General features: G+C 42.1%; 1 protein-coding gene and 1 long non-coding RNA gene across 46 annotated transcripts in view, besides 1 other annotated feature; one reads left to right on the top strand and one right to left on the bottom strand.

The window, feature by feature from the left end:
* The window catches only part of FHOD3 (formin homology 2 domain containing 3), a 482,508-nt gene that overhangs the window by 115,096 nt on the left and 346,876 nt on the right, over positions 1-20,536 (bottom strand). For 14 of the 45 annotated variants that reach the window (XM_011526189.2, XM_011526190.3, XM_017026008.2 and 11 more), the window contains 4 exons: positions 15,720-15,809; positions 12,196-12,555; positions 11,709-11,783; positions 6,937-7,050 (listed from right to left, as the gene is read on the bottom strand). The exons of 8 other annotated variants lie outside the window; for them this stretch is intronic. In XM_011526189.2, coding sequence (XP_011524491.1) covers positions 6,937-7,050; positions 11,709-11,783; positions 12,196-12,555; positions 15,720-15,809 — 639 coding nt within the window. The remainder of the gene's footprint in view (positions 1-6,936; positions 7,051-11,708; positions 11,784-12,195; positions 12,556-15,719; positions 15,810-20,536) is intronic. 23 more of the 45 variants (XM_011526196.2, XM_017026009.2, NM_025135.5 and 20 more) reach the window with 3 other exon arrangements.
* On the top strand, positions 1,707-4,736 carry LOC105372071 (uncharacterized). Its single transcript, NR_132982.1, has 3 exons — positions 1,707-1,818; positions 4,116-4,208; positions 4,562-4,736. It is a non-coding gene; the product is annotated as an uncharacterized LOC105372071 (long non-coding RNA).
* Positions 2,844-3,003: an enhancer, noted in NCBI's record as "active region_13241". NCBI's record gives its function as "activates an Ori minimal core promoter by ATAC-STARR-seq in GM12878 lymphoblastoid cells {active_cell/tissue: GM12878}" and the evidence as "EXISTENCE:reporter gene assay evidence [ECO:0000049][PMID:35858748]".

The raw sequence follows: 20,536 nt of genomic DNA, 5'->3' as shown, positions 1-20,536 counted from the left end.
TCAGTGATCTAGCAATATACATTTTCTTTTTTGAGACAGGGTCTCACTCTGTCACCCAGGCTGGAATGCAGTGGCATGACCTTAGCTCACAGCAGCTGCCAACTCCTGGGCTCAAGTGATCCTCCTGCCTCTGCCTCCTGAGTAGCTGCAACCATGGGCATAAGCCACCACACCTGGGGTCTCTTTGTTGCCTGGGCTGGTCTCAAGCAATCCTTCCACCTCAGCCTCCCAAAGTGCTGGGATTATAGGCATGAGCTACTGCGCCCAGCCCAGTAATACATTTTTCTGAAGGAGAAATCTCAATCTCAATCTCTCTCTCTCTCTCTCTCTCTCTCTCTCTCTCTCTCACATACACACACACCCCTTTTTGCTCTGTGATCTTTGTACAATAATGGTACAAAACTAATGTAGCAAGTGACAACTGGAAACCATGGCAAAGATGGGAGTAGGAATGGTGGGAAAAAGTCAAGTCAGATCTAAAACATGTGTGGGAGAAAGAATCTCCAGTACCTGCTGAGGACCCACAGTCCCACAGCACAGCACAGCCCAGGTTCCCTAGGGCCCACAGTCACTTTGTGAACCTACCATTAGCGAGCCAGACCCCACTCTGAACTTACTGCATCAACAGAACCAGTGCTTCTCTTGCGTGCTTTGGATGTAACGCAATCAATTAATAAGGACCACATTTAGCCTTACAGGGACTCTTATTGTTTGTAACAAGACTGCTGTCAGGAACTAGTGGCAGGCAAGTGGGAAGACTGCTTCTGCGCAGTCCAAGGAGAACACAGCATCTTTGAATGGTGGGGAATCAGACCACATTTGTACTGCTTGTTTCCTACTGGCATTTGTGGACTGGGTGCCATTAACTGTGTCACATAGAAAAACAATGTCCTTTATCCCATTATTTTACATTCTATTTGGGATTTTCTCAGAGAAGTTTGTTTTTTAAAAATGTACTTTAATCAACCAATTTAATTTTTTTAAAAACTAGAACCCCATTGCACAATGTGGCTCTCAATTCCACTGACAATTTTTTTTTAAGTATTGGGTTGACCAAGTGATAGAACACAGCCAGCAAGCATCTGGGATCCAGCAAAACACCCAGATCACATATCCACAAAACACAGTCATTCAAAAACCCAAGTAGAACTTCAAGGCACATGTAGATGACTAGTGAGGTCAGGGAAGGAAATGATAAAAGCCAAAGCAGACAAGAATGGGAAGACACAAGCATGTGGATTCATAGGGAATAGACAGTCCACTTGGAATTGGCAACAAAGATGAAGAAGGCACAGGTACCCACAAGTTACACACAGGGTGGTAGTCAAAAGGCAAGCCTGGCAGGCCATCACTGGAAGAACTACAGTAACTGCCAACAGGCAGGAAATGCATGGAAACAGAAACCTGAATTCTGAGGGAGAAGTCTCCATAAACATGGTGGAGATAGGTGTTCAAGGGGATCACAGCAAGTGAGATTCCCATAAGAGAGAGCTTAAGCTGGGAGAAGCCACCACAGAAGCACAGAAGGCTTCCACTTTCCCAGCTTCCTAAAATATGACTGTTCTTTACTATAGCACTGTCAGTCACTGTACACAACCTCCTAAAAGCAGATGATGCAATAATAGGACTGTTCCATGGCAGCACATGACACAGTTGTATTCCAGTGACCATGAAGAAAGTGGTAAAGCCAAAAACTGGGAGGAAGGAGAGCTCCTGAGAGGTCAGCGTGGCTGATCAGGGAAGGCTGACAGCAGGAAGAGGGGAGATGCTCCTAAGAACAGTTTGAACACACCGATGCATAAACAAACCTCCCTTCCTGTTAGTATCTGACACACGGTAGGGAAACAAAGGGTTATTCAATACATGTTGTTGAATGTATGAAAAAGCTGAAGTTGGACCTCTGCCTCATACTATTTGCCAAAATAATTTCCAGATAGATAAAACATTTAAATGTGACAAAATGTAGCTACAGAAGTACTAGAAGAAACCAGGAGAAAAAAGGCTTTCTTCAGTAGGAACACAAAATCATGAAAATAGAAAAGATTTACTCATGAAATTGAATGTTTCTACATGGTAAACACACAATAAATGAAGTAAAAAAGAACAATGAGAAAAGTGATTGCTACTCTTATCACAGTTTATAAAGAACTTCAATAATACAATGAGAAAAAACAACTCAATGACCCTCATATGAGGCATCTAAAATGGTCAAAGATATAGAAGTAGACAATAGAATGATGGTTACCAGGGGATTGAGGAAAGAGGGATATAAGGAGTTATTATCTGATGAGTATAAAGCTACAATTATAGAAGTTCCAGAGCTCTCCTACATAACATAGTGCCTATAGTTAATAATAACATATTGACCACTTAAACATTGTTAAGAGGGTAGATCTCATGTTAAGTATTCTTACTACACACACACAAAAGGTTATGTCCTTTATCCATCCCTTATTATCCATTATTACTCCCTAACAAGATGTTGTTACTTATATCTGGGTTTATAATCTTACAGGAAGTAGGAAGAACTCTGCTGGGACAACTATGAGAAAGACAATTCCCAAGATCTTCTAAGGGCTCTTGACATTAATCTGAAAAACAGCCATGTCAGTGTCATTTATAGTAAACAATGGCATTATTACAAGTGGAAAAGAGAACAGAATGCATGGTTAAAGTGCATATGATCCTTTGGGTTTCAGCACAGCATGTCCACAGAGAAATCCTCTCTGGCGTCCTAAGTATGGGCCTGAGGTTCCTACAACCTCTTCCCACTGAGCACTCACAGTGCAGGATAGGCTTACTCTAGGTGGCCTCTCTAGTCCCAGAACAAGGACTGTCTTAGGGTACCTTCAGTCCCAGGGCTTGGGCGTACTGTTTCCTCACATTGACAAGGCAAGCCTCCAGCCGCCATTGATGAGAAAGTCCACAAGATGGAGATGTCACTACAGGGAAGGGAAGAGGATGGGCCCGGCCTTTCCCAAAGCCTCACAACCACATATGCGCTTGAGGTGTGGTTGTTTGCTTGTTTGTTTCATTTGAATACTTGAACACAAATAGTTCAAATATTCCTGTAGTTTTATTTTCTTTCACAAAGAAAACATTTAGAAATTATCTGCTCAAAAAGTACATTTTCAAAAAGTGAAGTGTTTTAAAAGTCTGCTTTCATTAAACAGTTGCATCTTGTATTCCTGAGGGCCTTTGCAGATAGTTCTGGTTTTCTCGTTTTGTTTTGTTTTCTCTTAAGTTCCAAACTTCATGAAAATATTACTCTATTTCTAAAAGAGAGCCCTATTAACAAAGCTATAATAGGAGATATGGAGATGGATTCATTTTAATATCCTTGACTTAATTTTCCATATTGTTTCTTCAGCACTTCCTTCCTATGTCAATTTATCATTCCAAGTTTTATCAACATCTAACACATGAATATACTTGTTGGGGAAGAAATGGAAAACTCCAAGCTCATGACAATGTCCACTTGCATTTCCAAAGTGGGCCGAGGTGCCTGAAGGGTGTTTTAGTTGGCCTGATTATCCCAGGACTTCAGTGAAGTAGTCTTGTTTCCAAATCAAGGGAATGAAGTTCTAGAACTTCCTAGTATTGTACAGGGCTCAGGCACAATGTTTATTAGTCAGGGGTATGATCACAGAAGACGCGCATCCTCATTGCAGAAATGTAACCATTATTGATAATATAGTTCCTTTTTGGTTTTAATAATATATGTATATATAAAACATACCAACCATAAATCTTACAAATTCTACTAAAGTATATATACCTCAGTAAAAATAATCACACATCTTAATGGGCAAAAAATACTTGCATAGGTGAAATTAGATTATGGGTGATATCCAAAGAATTCAGTTGTCAAATATGACAAAGAAAAAATTCAAACTATATAAAAATGTCTATTATCATAAGTGCAACTGATGTAATATTCTTGGGCGATGGTGCACAAGTATGATTTGGAGTTAGAAGATCCTCTTATTTCTTTTTTTTTTTCCCCCACTTACAAAACATAAGTAAAGTGGTAATACAGCCAGGTCCAGTGGCTTCCTGGTCTTAATAAAACTGCACATCTGATATGTCAAATGATTCATCATATGTTTTTTCAGAGCCACACAAGGTGACAGTGAAAAAGACAAGCAAATGTAAAGGAGGTGATAGACTCTTAGAAGCTACCGTACTCGCTCGTGGATAGAGTGATGGTAAAGAAAACCAAGTTCCTACAGCAACAGCGTACTGTAAGAAGGAAAGGAACTTAGGAGAGTCATCCCACCACTGCTGTTCCCCAGTGACCCCATCCCAATGCCAGGCTCTCTGAGGGATTTAACTCCAGAGCCTTCTTCAAGCCAAGGACTGCTGAGTCCACACCTCCCCAGGGCCTCTGGAACATCTCCCTGGATGTCAGACAGGCTCCTTGGACCACCCATGCCCCATGCTGGAAGTCTCCACCCAATTTGCTTTTCTTCCAGTATCGTCCCAGTTCCTTGTTTCTAACATCCATACACTCGTGCAAGCCTGAACCTCTACTCATTTTGCGTCTCCTCTTACCCTCCAGGCGGCAGCCAACTCTGCCAAACCTGCTGCTCCTGGCAAGTCCCACAGCCAGTGCCATGTTGGGCACGGTCATCTCTCTTGGACTCTGACACTGCCTCGCGGCAGCCCTTGTTCCTGCAGCCTCACCCCAGTGGCTTGTTCTATGCTACTAACAAATTAGAATTGGTTGCCTCCTGCCTCCTGTCTCCTGTTTCCAAACTTGAACAGCTCCAGTGGTCTCAGGATAAAGTCCAGCCTCTTCCCCAGGATGTTCAAGGCACTCTGGGATCCAAGTCTTTTTTGTTTTTGTTTTGTTTTTGAGACAGAGTCTCACGGTCACCCAGGCTGGAGTGCAATGGCACAATCTCGGCTCACTGCAACTTCCACCTCCCAGGTTCAAGTGATTCTCCTGCCTCAGCCTCCTGAGTAGCTGGGATAACAGGCGTGCACCACCACACTCGGCTAAGTTTTGTATTTTTAGTAGAGACGGGGGTTCACCATGTTGGTTGGGCTGGTCTCAAACTCCTGACCTCGTGATCTGCCCACCTCGGCCTCCCAAAGTGTTGGGATTACAGGTGTGAGCCACCGCGCCCAGGCTCTGGGATCCAATTCTACCATTCCTGGTTTAACTGCCCACCCTCCTTATCCCCAGGGGCACTTCAGCCAGTCCAGGCAGAGAAGGAGACACAGACAGGAGTCCTTCAGGATCCTGGATCTTCTAGCCCAAACCTGGACCTGGGATTCCAGTGGCAGAAAAGCGGGCAGAGGTTGGGGCTTCCCTTTCAGAACCTGGGAAGAACATCCAAGCCCAGGGCTTTGGTAATCTTGTGGGCCACATGGACCCCTGTCTGTATAACTTTATAACTTCACAGACCTCCAAAGTGTTCCCAAGCAGTGAGCAGCTAAGTCACCCCATCCTTCCATCAGTGTTTACTGTGGCTCTACTATTGCCAGGCCCCAGGCACTGTAGGGAACACACCAATGAACAGAGCCTGGTTCTAGTCCCTGAGGAGCTGGCAGCTTGGCAGGTGCAAGATGTGCAACGTCGTATCAGTCTGACTCCAATATTACTCACTTTGGCCCCAAATCTTACATCCCATTTGACAAGGGTCATCTGTATGGTGACCTTTTCAGGACTACAGGTAACTTCAGCTAATCCCAACAGGAGGTGCCCTAGGGTAAAGGACAGAACTACAGACAGGTAATGGTGTCTTCGGGGTAATCAAATGGTTACCTTATTATCAAGACCTAACTTAGCCCAAGTGTGCTCAGCCCAGGACCACACTGGACTGTGGAATCTGAGAGCTTGACACCGTAGGATCTACATGCCATCTTAGAAGTTAACAGTGACATGTGACTAGGCAAACCCCACTGGACCTCCCTTCCTCCCAGGGCTTAAGGTCTTGCCTGCTCTCAACCCAACCAAACCTCCAATCACCAGCAGCACTCGGCAAAACATACTTCAGAATACACATAGAAGAGGATCTAAATGTGGAACGCAGGTTGCTTTAAATTTGGGATTTGAGGTAAGTGATCTCTGATGTCGCTCATGTCTAGATTCCTGATGAATGAGGAGCTGCTGGAAGTTACATGCTATCATCTCCTACACTAACAGCTTCCACCAGATACACATGGTGGGCTTCACACAGCACTCCCGAGTGGACTTTTGTTTGCTCATCAAAATCACCCTCTAAGGTATGGGTTGGTGTAATTGGCATTTACCCTCAGGGTTAAATAACTTCCAAGTGAGTGAGCTGGAATCCTAACCAGTCTTCTCTAACTCAGCACTCTTGCCATGTGAGGGTAACTTTCTAACTGTTCTAAAATTACAGGTCTTACCTTTCCCTTGTAAACACATCCTTGGGCAATCATTTGCTTCTGGGAGTCATAATCAGTTAATTTCTGGTGGTCTAATACTCTTGCCAAGTTAAATTCCTTCCATGTACCCATACAATTCTTTTCTCTTCTGGTAGGTCCTGGATTAATTATACAGCACCTTAATGGGCCCACTACTTTCTGATTTACACAGATTTAATCATTCAATGGTGAAAACTGATGTGTATATAACAAATTGCAGAGCTTACGTAAAATCTAGAACAGTTTTTAAGGAATGAATCAAAACATTCACACAAATATTTTAGAAGACATTTTTATACTTTCTATGGAAAGTGTGTAGGGGGATGAGACGCTAATATTAAAATATCACCTCTAATAAAATATTTGCTTAGTAAATAGTGTGAAAGAAAGAGAAAATATTCCTGGCTTCGGACAATGTTCTGTAAAGGAAAATACTTCATGTTATGTCTTTTATTTATATTTTTCCTTTAACCACACTTAACCAAATTGATTCCCCTCACTTGAGGACTGTGAAGCTATCAGCGTGCTTGTCGAACTCACCTTTCCAACCTGGCCTCCTGTGGGGGTGAGACGGATGATGTGGGGGTGGTGGGCACACTGGATCCAGATGAGGGTCTTGAGGAGTGATAAGAGTTATTGCCAAAATTGCTGTATCTAAGAAGTGCAGAGGTTTAAGTTGGGGGGAAAAGGATAGAGAAATAAGTACAAGTCAGTAAATAAGACTTAGCAAACCATTTTAATTTTTGCAAGAGAAACAGGTCTGGAAATGCTACCACTGTTAGTGGTAATTCTACCTAAAGAGGTTTGTTCCCTGTTTTTTTCTGATAATTTCTCATAAGAGGAGTTTCCCAAAGTCTAAAACCATTAGGCAGCAAGATTTATGACAAAGGGTTTAAATAAAACCCTAACATTTCCTGTTTTTTAAAATGTACGTTAAAATTATTTGCTAACATAAATTAAAAATCCAAATCAATTTCACTTGAACCATGAAGATTTTTCTTGCCTCACATGGTGGCACAATTAGTGTTAATTCCATCACAGGTCTGTAAGAAATACCATATGGTTGGCTAAAGAAACATCTTATTTAAAATTCCACTTTAGTATTTCCATATCAATTTCACTGATTAAATGTAATCCCATCACATGTTCAGTGATTGAGGAGAAACTGTCCCCAGGCTTTCTGGACTGGCCTGCTCCTTAGAGGTGCATGTATTCATGTTTTCATCCAACATTTCCCCTGAACCAAAATTACAGCCATGAGGTTTACATGAGATTTGATGATTTTCCAGACATGTCTGACAAGTTAAATTTCAAGATCTGTAAAATTCTAGATTTCTGTTTTTCAGACTAGACGTCCTTTAGCAGACCATATTTAGGTATCATCACTCAGAGCACTCCCAGAAAACAAATCATTATTTGATGCCCTTGCATGGGCTCAGACACTCAGGATTACTTACAAATAATGAGGCTCAGAGAGCTTTGCCTCGCAAATCTACCCAGCCACAGAGCAGGACCCACCCCGTCCACCGAACTGGTTAGGGACACTGTATTAGAATGTGTGGGACCCCAACAGTCACTATAAGGACACAAAGAGCTTCTTGCACATGGAGAATCCAGTCCAAACGCCCATCAACAGAAATTGGAATCCCTTCTGGAAAGCAAACTGATTTCAAAATGAGTGTATCCTTCGACAGAGTAAGTCAACTTTTGGGAAGATAACATAAGGAAATAACCTTATAGTTATTTATATACTGAAAATGTCATACAGGAAGATACTTATTGGAGCATTATTTATCTTTTTTCTTTTTCTTTCCAGAAAGCTCCTGCAAATAGTGGAACATTATTTAGATCATGGTAGAAAACTAAAAACTACTTAACCAGGTAGAAATGTGGAAATGGCTACGAAAGTATGATATATTATTTGTCAATGGACTATTATGCAACCCTTAAAAATGATTACCAATTTTATAAGTGACAACACGAAAAATGATAATATAGGCTAAATGAAAACATCAGGATATAATATACACAGTTTGATCACAACTGTGCAAAAATATACTCAAAAGTCAAAAACTAAGTGTAGGAAAAACTATAAAAATGGGCTATTTTTTAAAAAAGAATAGAGAGATGAAATTTCAGTTTTCAATAAGAAATTTCATTATTATAATGGAAAATAAAATATTGATACGACCCGCATCTATCCTGTGCTGCTAATTCTGGTCAGTTTGGCTGTTGCTGTCCTTATTTATTTAGTGTCACATGGCTGGCATATTCTCAGTGCCAGACAGAGAGAGGCTCAGAGCATACCACTCTATTCCATTATCCTCTGTGAACACATCATCTTTGTGGGACTTGGTTTCTGAGTACTCATTTTCTCTTTAAAAACCCAACACTCTACATGTCAAACAGGTTAATTGCTTCTCCAAGTGAGTGTTGGTTTAATTTTTCAACAGGGTTCCCAAACCACAGGCCACATAGGAAGCACAAAAGCAAAGGATGAAAGGAACCTACAAAGGCAGAAATAGAGAAGGGAGAGAAAGCCAATGAGCAAAGAGGGAAAGAAACCAGGCAGCAAGCACTGCAATGAGGGAGGGGAAGGAGGCTGCCCCGCACGACACCTAGCACTCTCCGTGACGAGACCCTGATGCAGCCTGATCCACACAGGCTCCATGCCTGTGTCAGCAGCTGCCTGGATGCTCAGCTTGTCATCCTACTCCAGCAGCTAAAACAATTCCCTTCCCACCACAAGTGGACATCCTGCAGAATGTTTTAACAGGATCACTTTGCTAAAATTGTGTTTAAATGACGCTATGGAAATAAAACAAGCAGAATGTGTTTTTCCCTCCTTTGGTTTTCCTAATGTCTAAGCAATTAATTCAAATGCCTCATAGTCTAATTTTGCTTCTCAATTTCAGCCAAACTAACTAGATCATACAACTCACTATTCAGCATTTTTGTGTGTGTGTGTGTGTGTGTGTGTGTGGAGGGTGAGGGTTCTTTTTAATGACTAACTGGTCGGTCTTTATTATAACCCATTCAATCGCAGTCAACCACTGAGTAGTCCATCTGTGGTCACACAGACCCATGAAAACCACAAAAAGTGAACATCAGAAAAATCAATAGGAACAATACTTGTACAGTATCCAAGTTCCTGCTGGAGAAGTGATTTTAAAAGTTTACAAACTTTGCTCAGTTAAATCAAAGTCAACCTTCATTCACAAGCAAGCAGCTTTTTTTTTCCCCCACAACTTACGTGTATCTTCAACTGGACAGCTTATGTGTTTCTATTGCTCCCACCCCCACGACTATAAATAGCGGTGAAGCTTGCAGACCAAACGGGAAGGGTCTGGGGCCCAGGAAAGCCCCAACTAGGGCCGAGACCATCACCAGAAAGACCAGCATCACCACCGTGGGCTAACACACTCTCTGGGAAAGATGAGATCACCAACATATTTTTGTTCCAGTCAAATGTTCAGCTCCTAACTTGCACATAGATATTGTTCTTGGAAGGTGTAAGAGTCATGTTGGATTCATTCCGCAAAAACTGTGTGAAAGATAACAACAATCCTGGAACTGTAGACCTGGAAGAGACCTGCAGAGAACTTGTAGTTTCAAGGAATTCAAATTTGGTTCACTGGGATAGTATGATTGGGGTACAAAAAAAAAAAAAAAAAAGAAGGAAAAAAAAAGAAGCTCAGTTCACAACTCCTGGAGGTATACAAAGCCATTCTGGAAATCAGAGGAAATTAATTTTCAGATCCTGAAGTTCCATATCTGCTCTTTTTAAAAATGGATCTTCCCATGCTGCTCCTAGGGTCTCCCAGTCCTTTCCAGCTTCTCCTTCCAAAATCACCTTCCATTTTTAGAAAGAAAAAAAACTCTTGAGCAGGTGGAATCAGTGTGGGGCACTGCTTTGTGCTATAAGATCTCCATGGTACCAAGCAAAGGAAAATATCACTCCTGAGGGAATTCCTTAAGAAGTATGCTGGAGGGAGAAGACGGAGCTTTATTTATCCAGGGAAAAACTAGAAGCAAGGTCTCATGCCTCATCTCTGTCTACGTGCCCACCTGAGAATCAGCCCCAAAAATGAGACTGTTGTCAGGGATGCGTATGAGCTCGCTTATTTGAACTGAAACATGAAATCAGGCTTCTTCTGACAGAAGTTAAGTCTCATTTGACTAAGGACTGGCTTTGCCAAGTAGGTATACATAGGTGTTTTCCAGAATTAAATCAGTTAAATCTAAAGCCCCAAGGTTTTGAAAAAAATATAAAGCATATATACAATAGACAAATTATATCAACAATTTAAACTTATAGTAAAAAAAACTGTAGACAGGCTTCTCAAAACTTGGAGGGAAACTTCAAAATTCCTTCAGATATAGTAAGCAAAAATTGTTAACGATCATAGATCTAGATTAGCCCTCCTATTTATTAGGTGAAAGGTCTGATACCCATAAAGACTGGTCATTTTCATGGTATGAAGGAGCTTCCTTCAAGGTTCAGGTCCTATAAGCCTTCATTTAAAACATGGTGCAGCTTCCTGTTGAGTAGGGCACCCAGACTGGGGTCCCCGAAACACAGGCTCTGGCAAAACATCTTGCTGACAAGGACTTGCCTTGGCAGGGTGTGGTGAGTGCAGTAAGGAGAGAAAGTGACTGACTGCCTAAATGACAGACAGCAGCACCACGTACGGGTTAGGAAGCGACTCTGGAACAGGCTGCCTGGGGTTGAAACCGCCTCGCAACATACTAGCTGAGTGACTCTGGTCAAGGTACTTAGCCTTTCTGTGCCTCAGTTTCCTCAGTGTAGTAAATGCTTGTAATAGAACCTACCTCTCAAGGGTAAAGTAATAAAGTACTAATTTCATGGAAAATACAGGATGTGGCTCAAAAACAATGCTCAATAAATGTCAGCTATTATAATTAATCTAAGATGAAATGGTCATTAGAATGATCAACTATTGATTTTTGGACGACTGATTGTTCAAAATATGCCAACTCTATTCCCAGTTCCCCACTCCAGCAGAGAGCTCATAACGCAGGCAACAGGGAAAGGCATTAATACAGGTGGACACCTGTTGAACATTCTTGGGGGAGTTCTGATTTGCACACCTCCCTCTGCCCTCATCTCCATTTTTTATAAGATTTAAGTGTTCATAGTAAAATACGTAATTAATACCTATGAAGTGGTTCAAACTGTAATTGTGTGTCACGTTGTAGGAAGATATTAGCATTCTTTGAAAAGAAAAATGCATACATTAGAATATAAAACAGAAAGCTACAGAAAAGGGAAAGAAAATAAAGACACCCACCTATTAGAAGAGAAAGATCGGAAGTGGTAAGGCTCAGAGGCAGAATATGTGCTCAAAGAGAAAGAATCAGAGGAACTGTCAAAGGAAGAAAAGCCCGCTCACAATGTGGCACGGAAAGATAGCAAAGGACTTTGATACATTCTTCAGCGTCAAAAAGACTTCATGCCACCTGGCTTGGTACAAGATGTATAAATTTGGACACATTATACACATGTAAACCTTACATTTAAAAACCCATTACTAGTAATCATATTTTAACAAATGATCCCCTTAATTCAAACAGATGACAATTTTCTCTGCATCTTATGTAAACACTGGTCATTATTTAGTCAGGGGTCAGCAACTTAAGTTTATGCCACAACTGCTCCCTGCTTGGGCTGAAATCCACAAAAAAACATGGCAGAAGCCAAGCCAAGGGGTGCAGTTAACACACTGTGTTCTCCTCCCCGAGTTAATCTCAAACAAGCCTCCAGGTGAGCAAATCTACCTGTTTTCCTTCTGGGACTCTGCTTCCTTCTCCTTGGTGGACAGGGAGGAGTCCTCAAAGTCATAGGAGAAGAGGTGGAAGGGGCTGTGGGGCACGTAGGGCAGCTTGTCTATGGTCGGTGACACCTTCAGGGAGCCTGGTGTGGCGGAGGAGGGCCGAGCAGCTGAGGCAGGGGGTGACAGGAGGGCAGATGGGGTGGCCTCAGACCCAGAGGACCCACTGTGCCAGGTGGTCCCGCCTGCAGTGCCAACCAGAAGCGGCTTTCCCTGCGAGCTGGCATTCGAGACAGCAGGGAGGGCAGAGCTCTTGGGAGCAGCATCCCTTCCAGTGGGGCTCTGCCCTGAGGCAGCGCCGACCTTGCTGTTGGGCCAGCAGGGAGGAGGAGGAAGAAGAAAAAAAGATTTGGGAGAGAAGGAGCAAAGGTTAGGAAAAAGAGAGACAGGCAAAAAGCCACTTCTGTACTATTATCACTCACTTCAAAGTCAAGCTGTGTTTCTTGAACTGAAGCATAAAAGCCTGTCACCAGCAGCTTTGGTTTGCCCAAGCAATCCTGACATGCTGAGTTTGTCAAACCAGGAGGTAAGACTTATAGAGGGCAAGGAGGTGGCTCTCAGGCCAAACCTGGCCTCTAGGTGTAAGAGACTTTGGGAATTTACTGGAGCCCCAAAGACTCTTCTGCACCCGGCACCTCCCATGTTTCTCCCTGCTGCTGGTGTTGGCATCTGAATTTCCACGACTGGAACTTCATCTCTGTCTTGGTCAAATAGCAGATCTGTCCTCCTGCTAAAAAGCCCAACCTTGAGGAAGAGGTATCCCACAAAGCCATACACTTTAGTGACTGCTTCCAGAACCTTTTGTGACAGCAGGTATGGCTAAGAGAAAAGGAGAAAAAATGCCAGCGAGGAAGGCAAAGAGCTAAAAAGAGGGGCCAGGACAAAAAAGACAAATTTTGCCCGTTTCATACTTTCTCCAGGGCCTCCCACTACACCTGTGACATTCAGACGCCTTCAGACAGGCCTGATTCTGCCTCCAGGTATAAAATCCTGACCTCAGTCCCTCCACACACAGTAACTATGGGAGGTGATAGACATGTTCATTGATTGTGGTCATCATTATGCAATGTATACATATATCAAATCATCACTTTGTAAACCTTAAATATATACATTTTTTTTTTTTGAGCAGAGTTTTTTGAACAGAGTTTTGCTCTTGTTGCCCCCAGTGATCTTGGCTCACGGCAACCTTTGCCTCCCAGGTTCAAGCAACCCTTCTGCCTCAGCCTCCCAAGTAGCTGGGATTACAGGCATGCGATACCACACCTGGCTAATTTTGTATTTTTAGTAGAGATGAGGTTTCACCATGTTGGTCAAGCTGGACTCGAACTCCTGACCTTAAGTGATCCACCTGCCTTGGATTCCCAAAGTGCTGGGATTACAGGCGTGAGCCACCATGCCTGGCATTATATATAATTTTTAATTTGTCCATTAAATATTATAAAACTATAAAAAGAGCTTTCCATCTTCAGGGGGCTGGGTTTAGACCCTTGGATATTTTAACACATACATTTATAACCTGGGAATCTATGTTAAACTTTGCATTTTTCCAGTCCTCTCTCAGAGAAATTGACTCCCAGCCATGTTCGTGTGAACATGGAATGTGAGCTGTCTTCTTTCCCGCCTCAAATTCAGAGCTCTGCTTGTACATAAGGGCAGGCACCCAACAGTTTCCCTGGATTGATGGGAAGATGGACATGCTGTAGCGAGCTGAGGGCAGTGCCTCAGGCGGGGAGCACACACTAAGCAGAAGTCAGCAGGAAGCAGGGCAGCAGAGACACCAACCCAACAGAAGGAAGGGGAAATCCTTTACGGTCTCAGAAGTTTACGCCAGAGAACAAATAACATCCAGATGAAGGTTAATGAATACCTAGGTACTACCAAGATCAAGCTCTGTTATTTAACATACACATGTTTATTTCCTAAAACTGAAAAGCCTAATGGTCTCTGGTAAAGGATGCCCTCTGGCATCACTTTGTGGAGTCAGAGACTCTTCCAGGCATAAGATAAACAATCATCTACCTGTATAATAAAAATCCTAGGTAGAGACAGCACACCATTAACAGGGATGCCTTTGAAGGCCGCCTTTTCCAGCCAGATTCTTCCATCTGGTCTGAAGGTGCAGAAGCATGTGCATACCTGAGGGTTTAAGGGTTTGTGCAGGTGGGCAGAACATGCACCTTTCAGCAGATAGGGAGGCATATCCCTGTTTCAGTGATAGCCTACAGAATTTCCTACAGCTCATTTTCAACTGAAGGTGGGATGGCGACCAAACATCCTCCCTTCCCAGAGCACCTCTAAGTAATCAATCACTAGCTCTAAGCACGGCAGGGTCTCTGTTTCATGCTGATCTTTCCTGAAATGTGTGGCTAATTCTCTATCATCAGCTCATTCCTTTTCTCTCCACATCCTGCTGGCTTCTTCTCAGTCATTTCCAAATAGGGGCAAGCAATCATTAGTTTGTCAGTTCAGAGAAGATTCTATGACCCCCGGGCATGGCAGGAGTCTGTGTGTCAAATGAGCCCATCTGAGAACTTCTGTGTGCACTGCTAGCCTGGCAGATGAGGCATCAGTAGCAAAGACTCCATTAAATCTAAAGTTGGCAAAGATTTTACTTGGATTCATCCAAGATCCATTTGATTTTGCTTATTTGTAGGAAAAAAAAAAAAGTAAAAATGTCCATTTGCAGTGGCAATCAATTAAGTGAAGAAAACCATTCAATTTTAGAATTATTTCTGAATACTGGAAAATGAAACTACCCATGAGCAATTTTTACTGTTTTATACAGACATGATTTGGGGAAAATATCTACAGAATTTTAAAATATCTGCAAGGTGCCCATGTCTGTCAGCGTTGCCTGAGGATAGAAAGAAAGCACCATGCAGAGGAGGTGAGTAGATGACAGCAAACTCCCCAAAGGGCTATAGAGTTATATGTTAGTTGTCTTGGTGTGAAAATAAATACTGGGAAATTTTGCTATGATGCATGGGGTGAAAATTTTCCTGTTTGGATATAAAACAAACCTGAATCATTAATATAGTAGTTATCCACACATTTTAGCTAATATTGTGCTGGTAAAATCAGGAAGAAAGGAACATATGGAATTCTTCTTACTGCAATGCTGAAAGGGCAAGAATCTTCTTAGGGGAGATGAGCCTTTTTAGTCACCATCAATCTGGTTGAGCTAAAGCATTCAATGAGGGAGGGAAAGGTGAGGAGAAAACCAGTGATTTTTTCCATAAAGTGTGGTTAGGAAGGTAGGATTTCAATAAAAAGTGCAGTTCTCTAATGAAAACATGCTCAGGTATTTCTACAAAACCAGTGGTTCTGTGGCTCTGTGAACAGGGTAAGTAAGAGTTTGCAAGTGGGAGTCAATGAGGAAGGGAGGTGGCCACTAGAAGGCAGTGAACTATCATTAGGAAGGAGTCTCCCACTTTTAGTGTGAGCTTGGGAGGCTCCAGTCCTAGGTACCTGTCCTTGCCCTGACAGGAAGCATCATCCTCTCTCTCTTCTTCGGAACTGGGCTCCGTGATTGGCTGCTCCTCTTCCTCCTCCTCCTCCCTGAGACAAAGCCAGGAAAAGAGAAATGCACACAGACAACATGGAAAAGTGAGATGAGCATTACAGACAAACAGGAAGATGAAGCAAAAACAACAACAACAACAACAACGAAATAATAATAATTAAAAAAAAAAAACCACCCAGCTGGCTGAAATGAAGAAAAGCACACTCAGTCTGTTAGGAGACAAGAGACAGTTCTGAAATGTGGGACTTTAAACGTCGGGTGGAGATGTAAGAAAGCAGAAAAGGCCAAATTTCTTTGTCAAGCTGGCTAGATGCCACTACCCTGCACCCCCTACATGCAATTCACAGAAGCTTCTGGCCATGGGCAGACCTCCTCTGTGGTTTTTCTCCTCCACACAGAATCATCCAGTAAAGGTTTTTGGTGATGACCAGCTGCTGCAGCAACCAGAGTCCTCACATCTTTACTGCATCCCTCTTGATTAGAAATCACCAAGGGTCAGGCCAATTTGGCATGGACTAACTTCCACGGTGGACCTATGGTTTTGGTATGCCACCCCTTATTCTCAATGAATGGCCACCCCTGATTTTCAATGAGTGTGTTTCAGGGGTGCAGTTCCACTCCCACTTCAAGGGTAGCACATAGTCCAAGTGGGGCCAATTCATATCACACCTGGGGTTTCTCCTGGTACCATCAGGGATGACTCACTATAAGGACACCCTGAGTCCAAGAAAAACATAGTTGAAACTGGGAGAAAAGGAGAGGAAAGCAGTCCCCCCGACCATTTTAATGCCTGTATCCAGCAATTCTGGAGCTCTACCCTAGCCTTTCACTAATGGAAAATAATAAATTCTCGTTGTTGCTTAGGGTGGTTTCAATTGGGTTTTGTCCTTGCAGCTAAGTACAGACTAAAAACTTTAAAAACTGGGACATTCTCTTTCTCTGGTCTCTAAGTCCTGTCAACAACCGACTTATGTGGTCATGGTCCACATGGAACACCTGTTCAATGCCCTGCTGGGCTTCTCAATCCCTTGCCTTGCTGAACTCCAGTGACCTCCACCTTTAGCCCCTCCCACTCTAGACCTCACCATCGTACATAACTAGCCCACCTTGGAAATCTTACATCCAACCTTCCCACCCCTGACCACAAGCCCCCATTCACCCAAATCTCTCATTCCTTTCCTCTCACCCAAATTCTTCACCTCCTAATGCATGTGCATCCTCTACTTTCTCAATGCCCCCAGCATCTTCTTGCTTTCAGTCCTTACGGATCCACCATGTCTCACTCCAGGCATCATCTACCAGGATCTTTAACTCTGTCATCCCACTGTCCTTCAGCTGTTTTTTCCTTTTTAACCAACATATAAAATACATACAGAAAAGTACACAAACCACTGAATTTTCACAAAATAAACACACCTATCTAACCAGCACCCCCTTAATGCTCCTTTCCAATTGCTTCCCTCTCCCACCCCACATCAAATAGTGTAAGTTAGCTTTGCCTGGTTTTATTCTCCATCTAAAAGGAATCATAATCTGCCTAGCTTTTGTTCAACATTACAGCTGTGGGATTCATTGACATAGTTACGTATACTTGAAGATCATTCCTTCTTATTGCTGTATTCCAGTAGTTTACCCATTCTACTTCTGATGACCCTTGGGTACCCTTCAATTTGGGGCTATTTTGAATAGTGCTGTCATAAACAGTGTAGTACATGTCTTCTGGTGAACATATGTATATATTACTGTGTACTATATCTTGGGATGAAATTTTTGGGTCATAAGATATGCTTGGGTTCATCTTTATTAATAACTGCCATTTAAAAAAATGATGGGATGAATTACCATCCCCATAAGTAGTAGATGAGCATTCTGATTGTTTTACATTCTTGCCAAGATCTGATAATTTTGTCTATTTCATTTTAGCCATTGATCTGTGTGTAGTGATGTCTCACTGTGCTTTTAGTTTGCTTTCTCTGATGACTAATGAAGTTGGGCACACTGTCACACTTTTAATGTCCATTTGGATATGCTCTTCTTTGAAGTGTCCAAGTAGTTTTTTGCCCATTAAAAAAATGAATTTTTTTTTGTATTTGAAGAAGTGTGTTTTTGAAGACAAAGTTTTGCTCTTGTTGCCCAGGCTGGAGTGCAGTGGCACGATCTTGGCTCACTGCAACCTCTGCCTCCCGGGTCAAGCGATTCTCCTGCCTCAGCCTCCCAAGTAGCTGGGATTACAGGCACCCACCACCATGCCCAGCTAATTTTTTGTATTATTATTTAGTAGAGACGGGGTTTCATCATGTTGGCCAGGCTGGTCTCAAACTCCCGACCTCAGGTGATCCACCCGCCTTGGCCTCCCAAAGTGCTGGAATTACAGGCATGAGCCACCGCACCCGGCCGAAGAAGTGTTTTTAATATCATTTGCCCTTTGTCATTTATATGTTCTGTAAACATCTTTCCCTTCTCTATTGTCTTTCATTCACTTCATGTCATCTTTTAATAAGCAGAAGTTCTTAATAATGTCCTGTTTACCTTTGATGGCTAATGCCTTTGTGTGTTAATTTTTGTTGTTGTTGTTTACACCAGGTCTTAAAGATAGTCTCTGTGTCCTTCTAAAAGCTTCATTTCACTAACTTTCAGATTTACATTTGTAGAGTCCATCTCTAATTGATTTTTGTTATCATGTAAGATAGGGGTCAGATACATTTTTTTCCCTACATCGATACGCAATTGGCCCAGAACCATTTAGTAAAGGGCCTTCTCTCCACTTCAGTATCTTGTTCACAAATCAGGTTAATATACATTAAGATATATATTTGTAGATTTCTGGACTTTTTCTCACAAGTCAACTTGTTTTTTGCTGTACTATTGATAGGGATTATGTTGAATTTATATGCAAATTTGAAGAACTGACATCTTTGCTATGTTTTTTAATCTATGGTTGTGATATATATAGCCTTTATTTAGACCTAATCTTACTGCTATCTTAATTTCTCTTAATAGTGTTTAAATTTTCACAGAGGTCTTAGATATCTTTATTTTTAGGTATAAATTTGGATGCTACTGTACATATTATTGAACTCAATTTTATTTTCTATTTGTTGATAGTATATAGAAATAAACTTTTTGTAAATTTTGCTTGTATCCAGCAATTTTTCTAAATTTATTATACTGTTTCTAGAGCTTCTTTTAGACTTCCTCTGTAGACAATCGTTTCATCACTAAATAATGATGGCTTTACCTACTTCTTTCCAATTCATCTGCCTTTCCTTTTCCTTGCCCTAGTCCACTTGCTAGGACCTCCAACATTATGAAGAAATGGAGACAGTGATGCTTCCTTTTCTTGTTCCAAATCTCAGGGAAAAGTATAAGGTTTGTCATAGATTTTTTTGGTAGATAGCCTTCATTAAAAAATTTCCTTCTAATCCTAGTTTGCTAAAAATCTTTATTATAAACAAGTATTAAAGTTCTGTCAAATGCCTTTCCTGCATTTAAGATAATCATATGATTTTTCCTTTTTTCTGTTAAAGAGCTATGAAGACTGCTTTTTTAAAAAAAATGTTAAGCCAACCTTGCATACCATGAATAAACTTAATAAAGATAATACATTTTGTTGTAATGTATTATCTTTTTATATACAGCTAGATTCTATTTCTTAATTTATTAAGAATTTTTTACCTATTTTGGAAAGAGATTGATCTGTAATTCCCCTTTCTATAATGTGCTTGTCAGATTTTGAAATCAAGGTTATACTGGCCTTATAAAGAGGTAGGTAGAGGGATTGAGAATTATGTAACTAAGAAGGGAGAGATGGATCTGGACTCGGGGTGCCTCTAGCAGAAACAAGGAGAGCAGTGAGATAGCATCCCTCCTGTCATGGCAGAAGCCACAAACAAGCACATCTAAGCCATCCTTCCTTTTTTTTTGAGACAGAGTCTCACTCTGTCACCCAGGCTGAGGTGCAGTGGCACAATCTCACCATCTTGGTTCACTGCAGCCTCTGATTCCTGAGTTCAAGTGATTCTCGTGCCTCAGCCTTCCGAATAGCTGGGACTACAGGCATATGCCACCATGGATGAATATTTTTGTATTTTTAGTAGAGATGAGTTTTTACCATGTTTGCCAGGCTGGTCTTGAACTCCTAACCTCAAGTGATCCACCCACCTCAGCCTCCCAAAGCCACCATGCCCGGACTCAGCCATCCTTCTGAGCTTGGCATAGTATACCCTCATACACACCACCCCCTACCAGCCTCAGTCTTCTTTTCCTCCATGTGCTCCCACAGCTGCCAAACTATACCTACAAGCTCCATCATGAGGCCACCTTCCCTCAGCTTGATCAGGAGTTTGCAGGTGTTATTACTTCTGGTCCACACAAAATGCCCTCCACCTTGCCAACCGATGGGCCTCTCCTCTTTAAAACAAAACACTGAGCCCCTCCCTCCAAAATTCCTTGATTCCATTTACTCTCCCAGGTAGAGCTGGAGAGGTTCTGGAGCCAGACTGCCTGGGTCTGGTCTTCAGAGTCACCACTTTTGAGCCCTGTGACCTTGGACCCCACTTTACTCATCCCTACATGGGGCACTAACAGTACCTATCCCCTAGGAGGAATGCATTAATATGTAAAAGCACTTTGTCTTTTTGATCCAACTCTTTTCCAAATGGCTGTCTCACAGATATTTAAAGACAGCTATCTGAACCTACATCCCAAGCTGTCTTCTCTTTGGGCTCAACATCCTCAGATCCCACAATAAATCTTCATATGA

This window comes from Homo sapiens, chromosome 18 (assembly GCF_000001405.40).
Source record: "Homo sapiens chromosome 18, GRCh38.p14 Primary Assembly".
Classification (NCBI taxonomy): domain Eukaryota; kingdom Metazoa; phylum Chordata; class Mammalia; order Primates; family Hominidae; genus Homo; species Homo sapiens.
The sequence above is the reverse complement of the archived record's forward strand: the minus strand, read 5'-3'. Positions and strand labels throughout refer to the sequence as shown.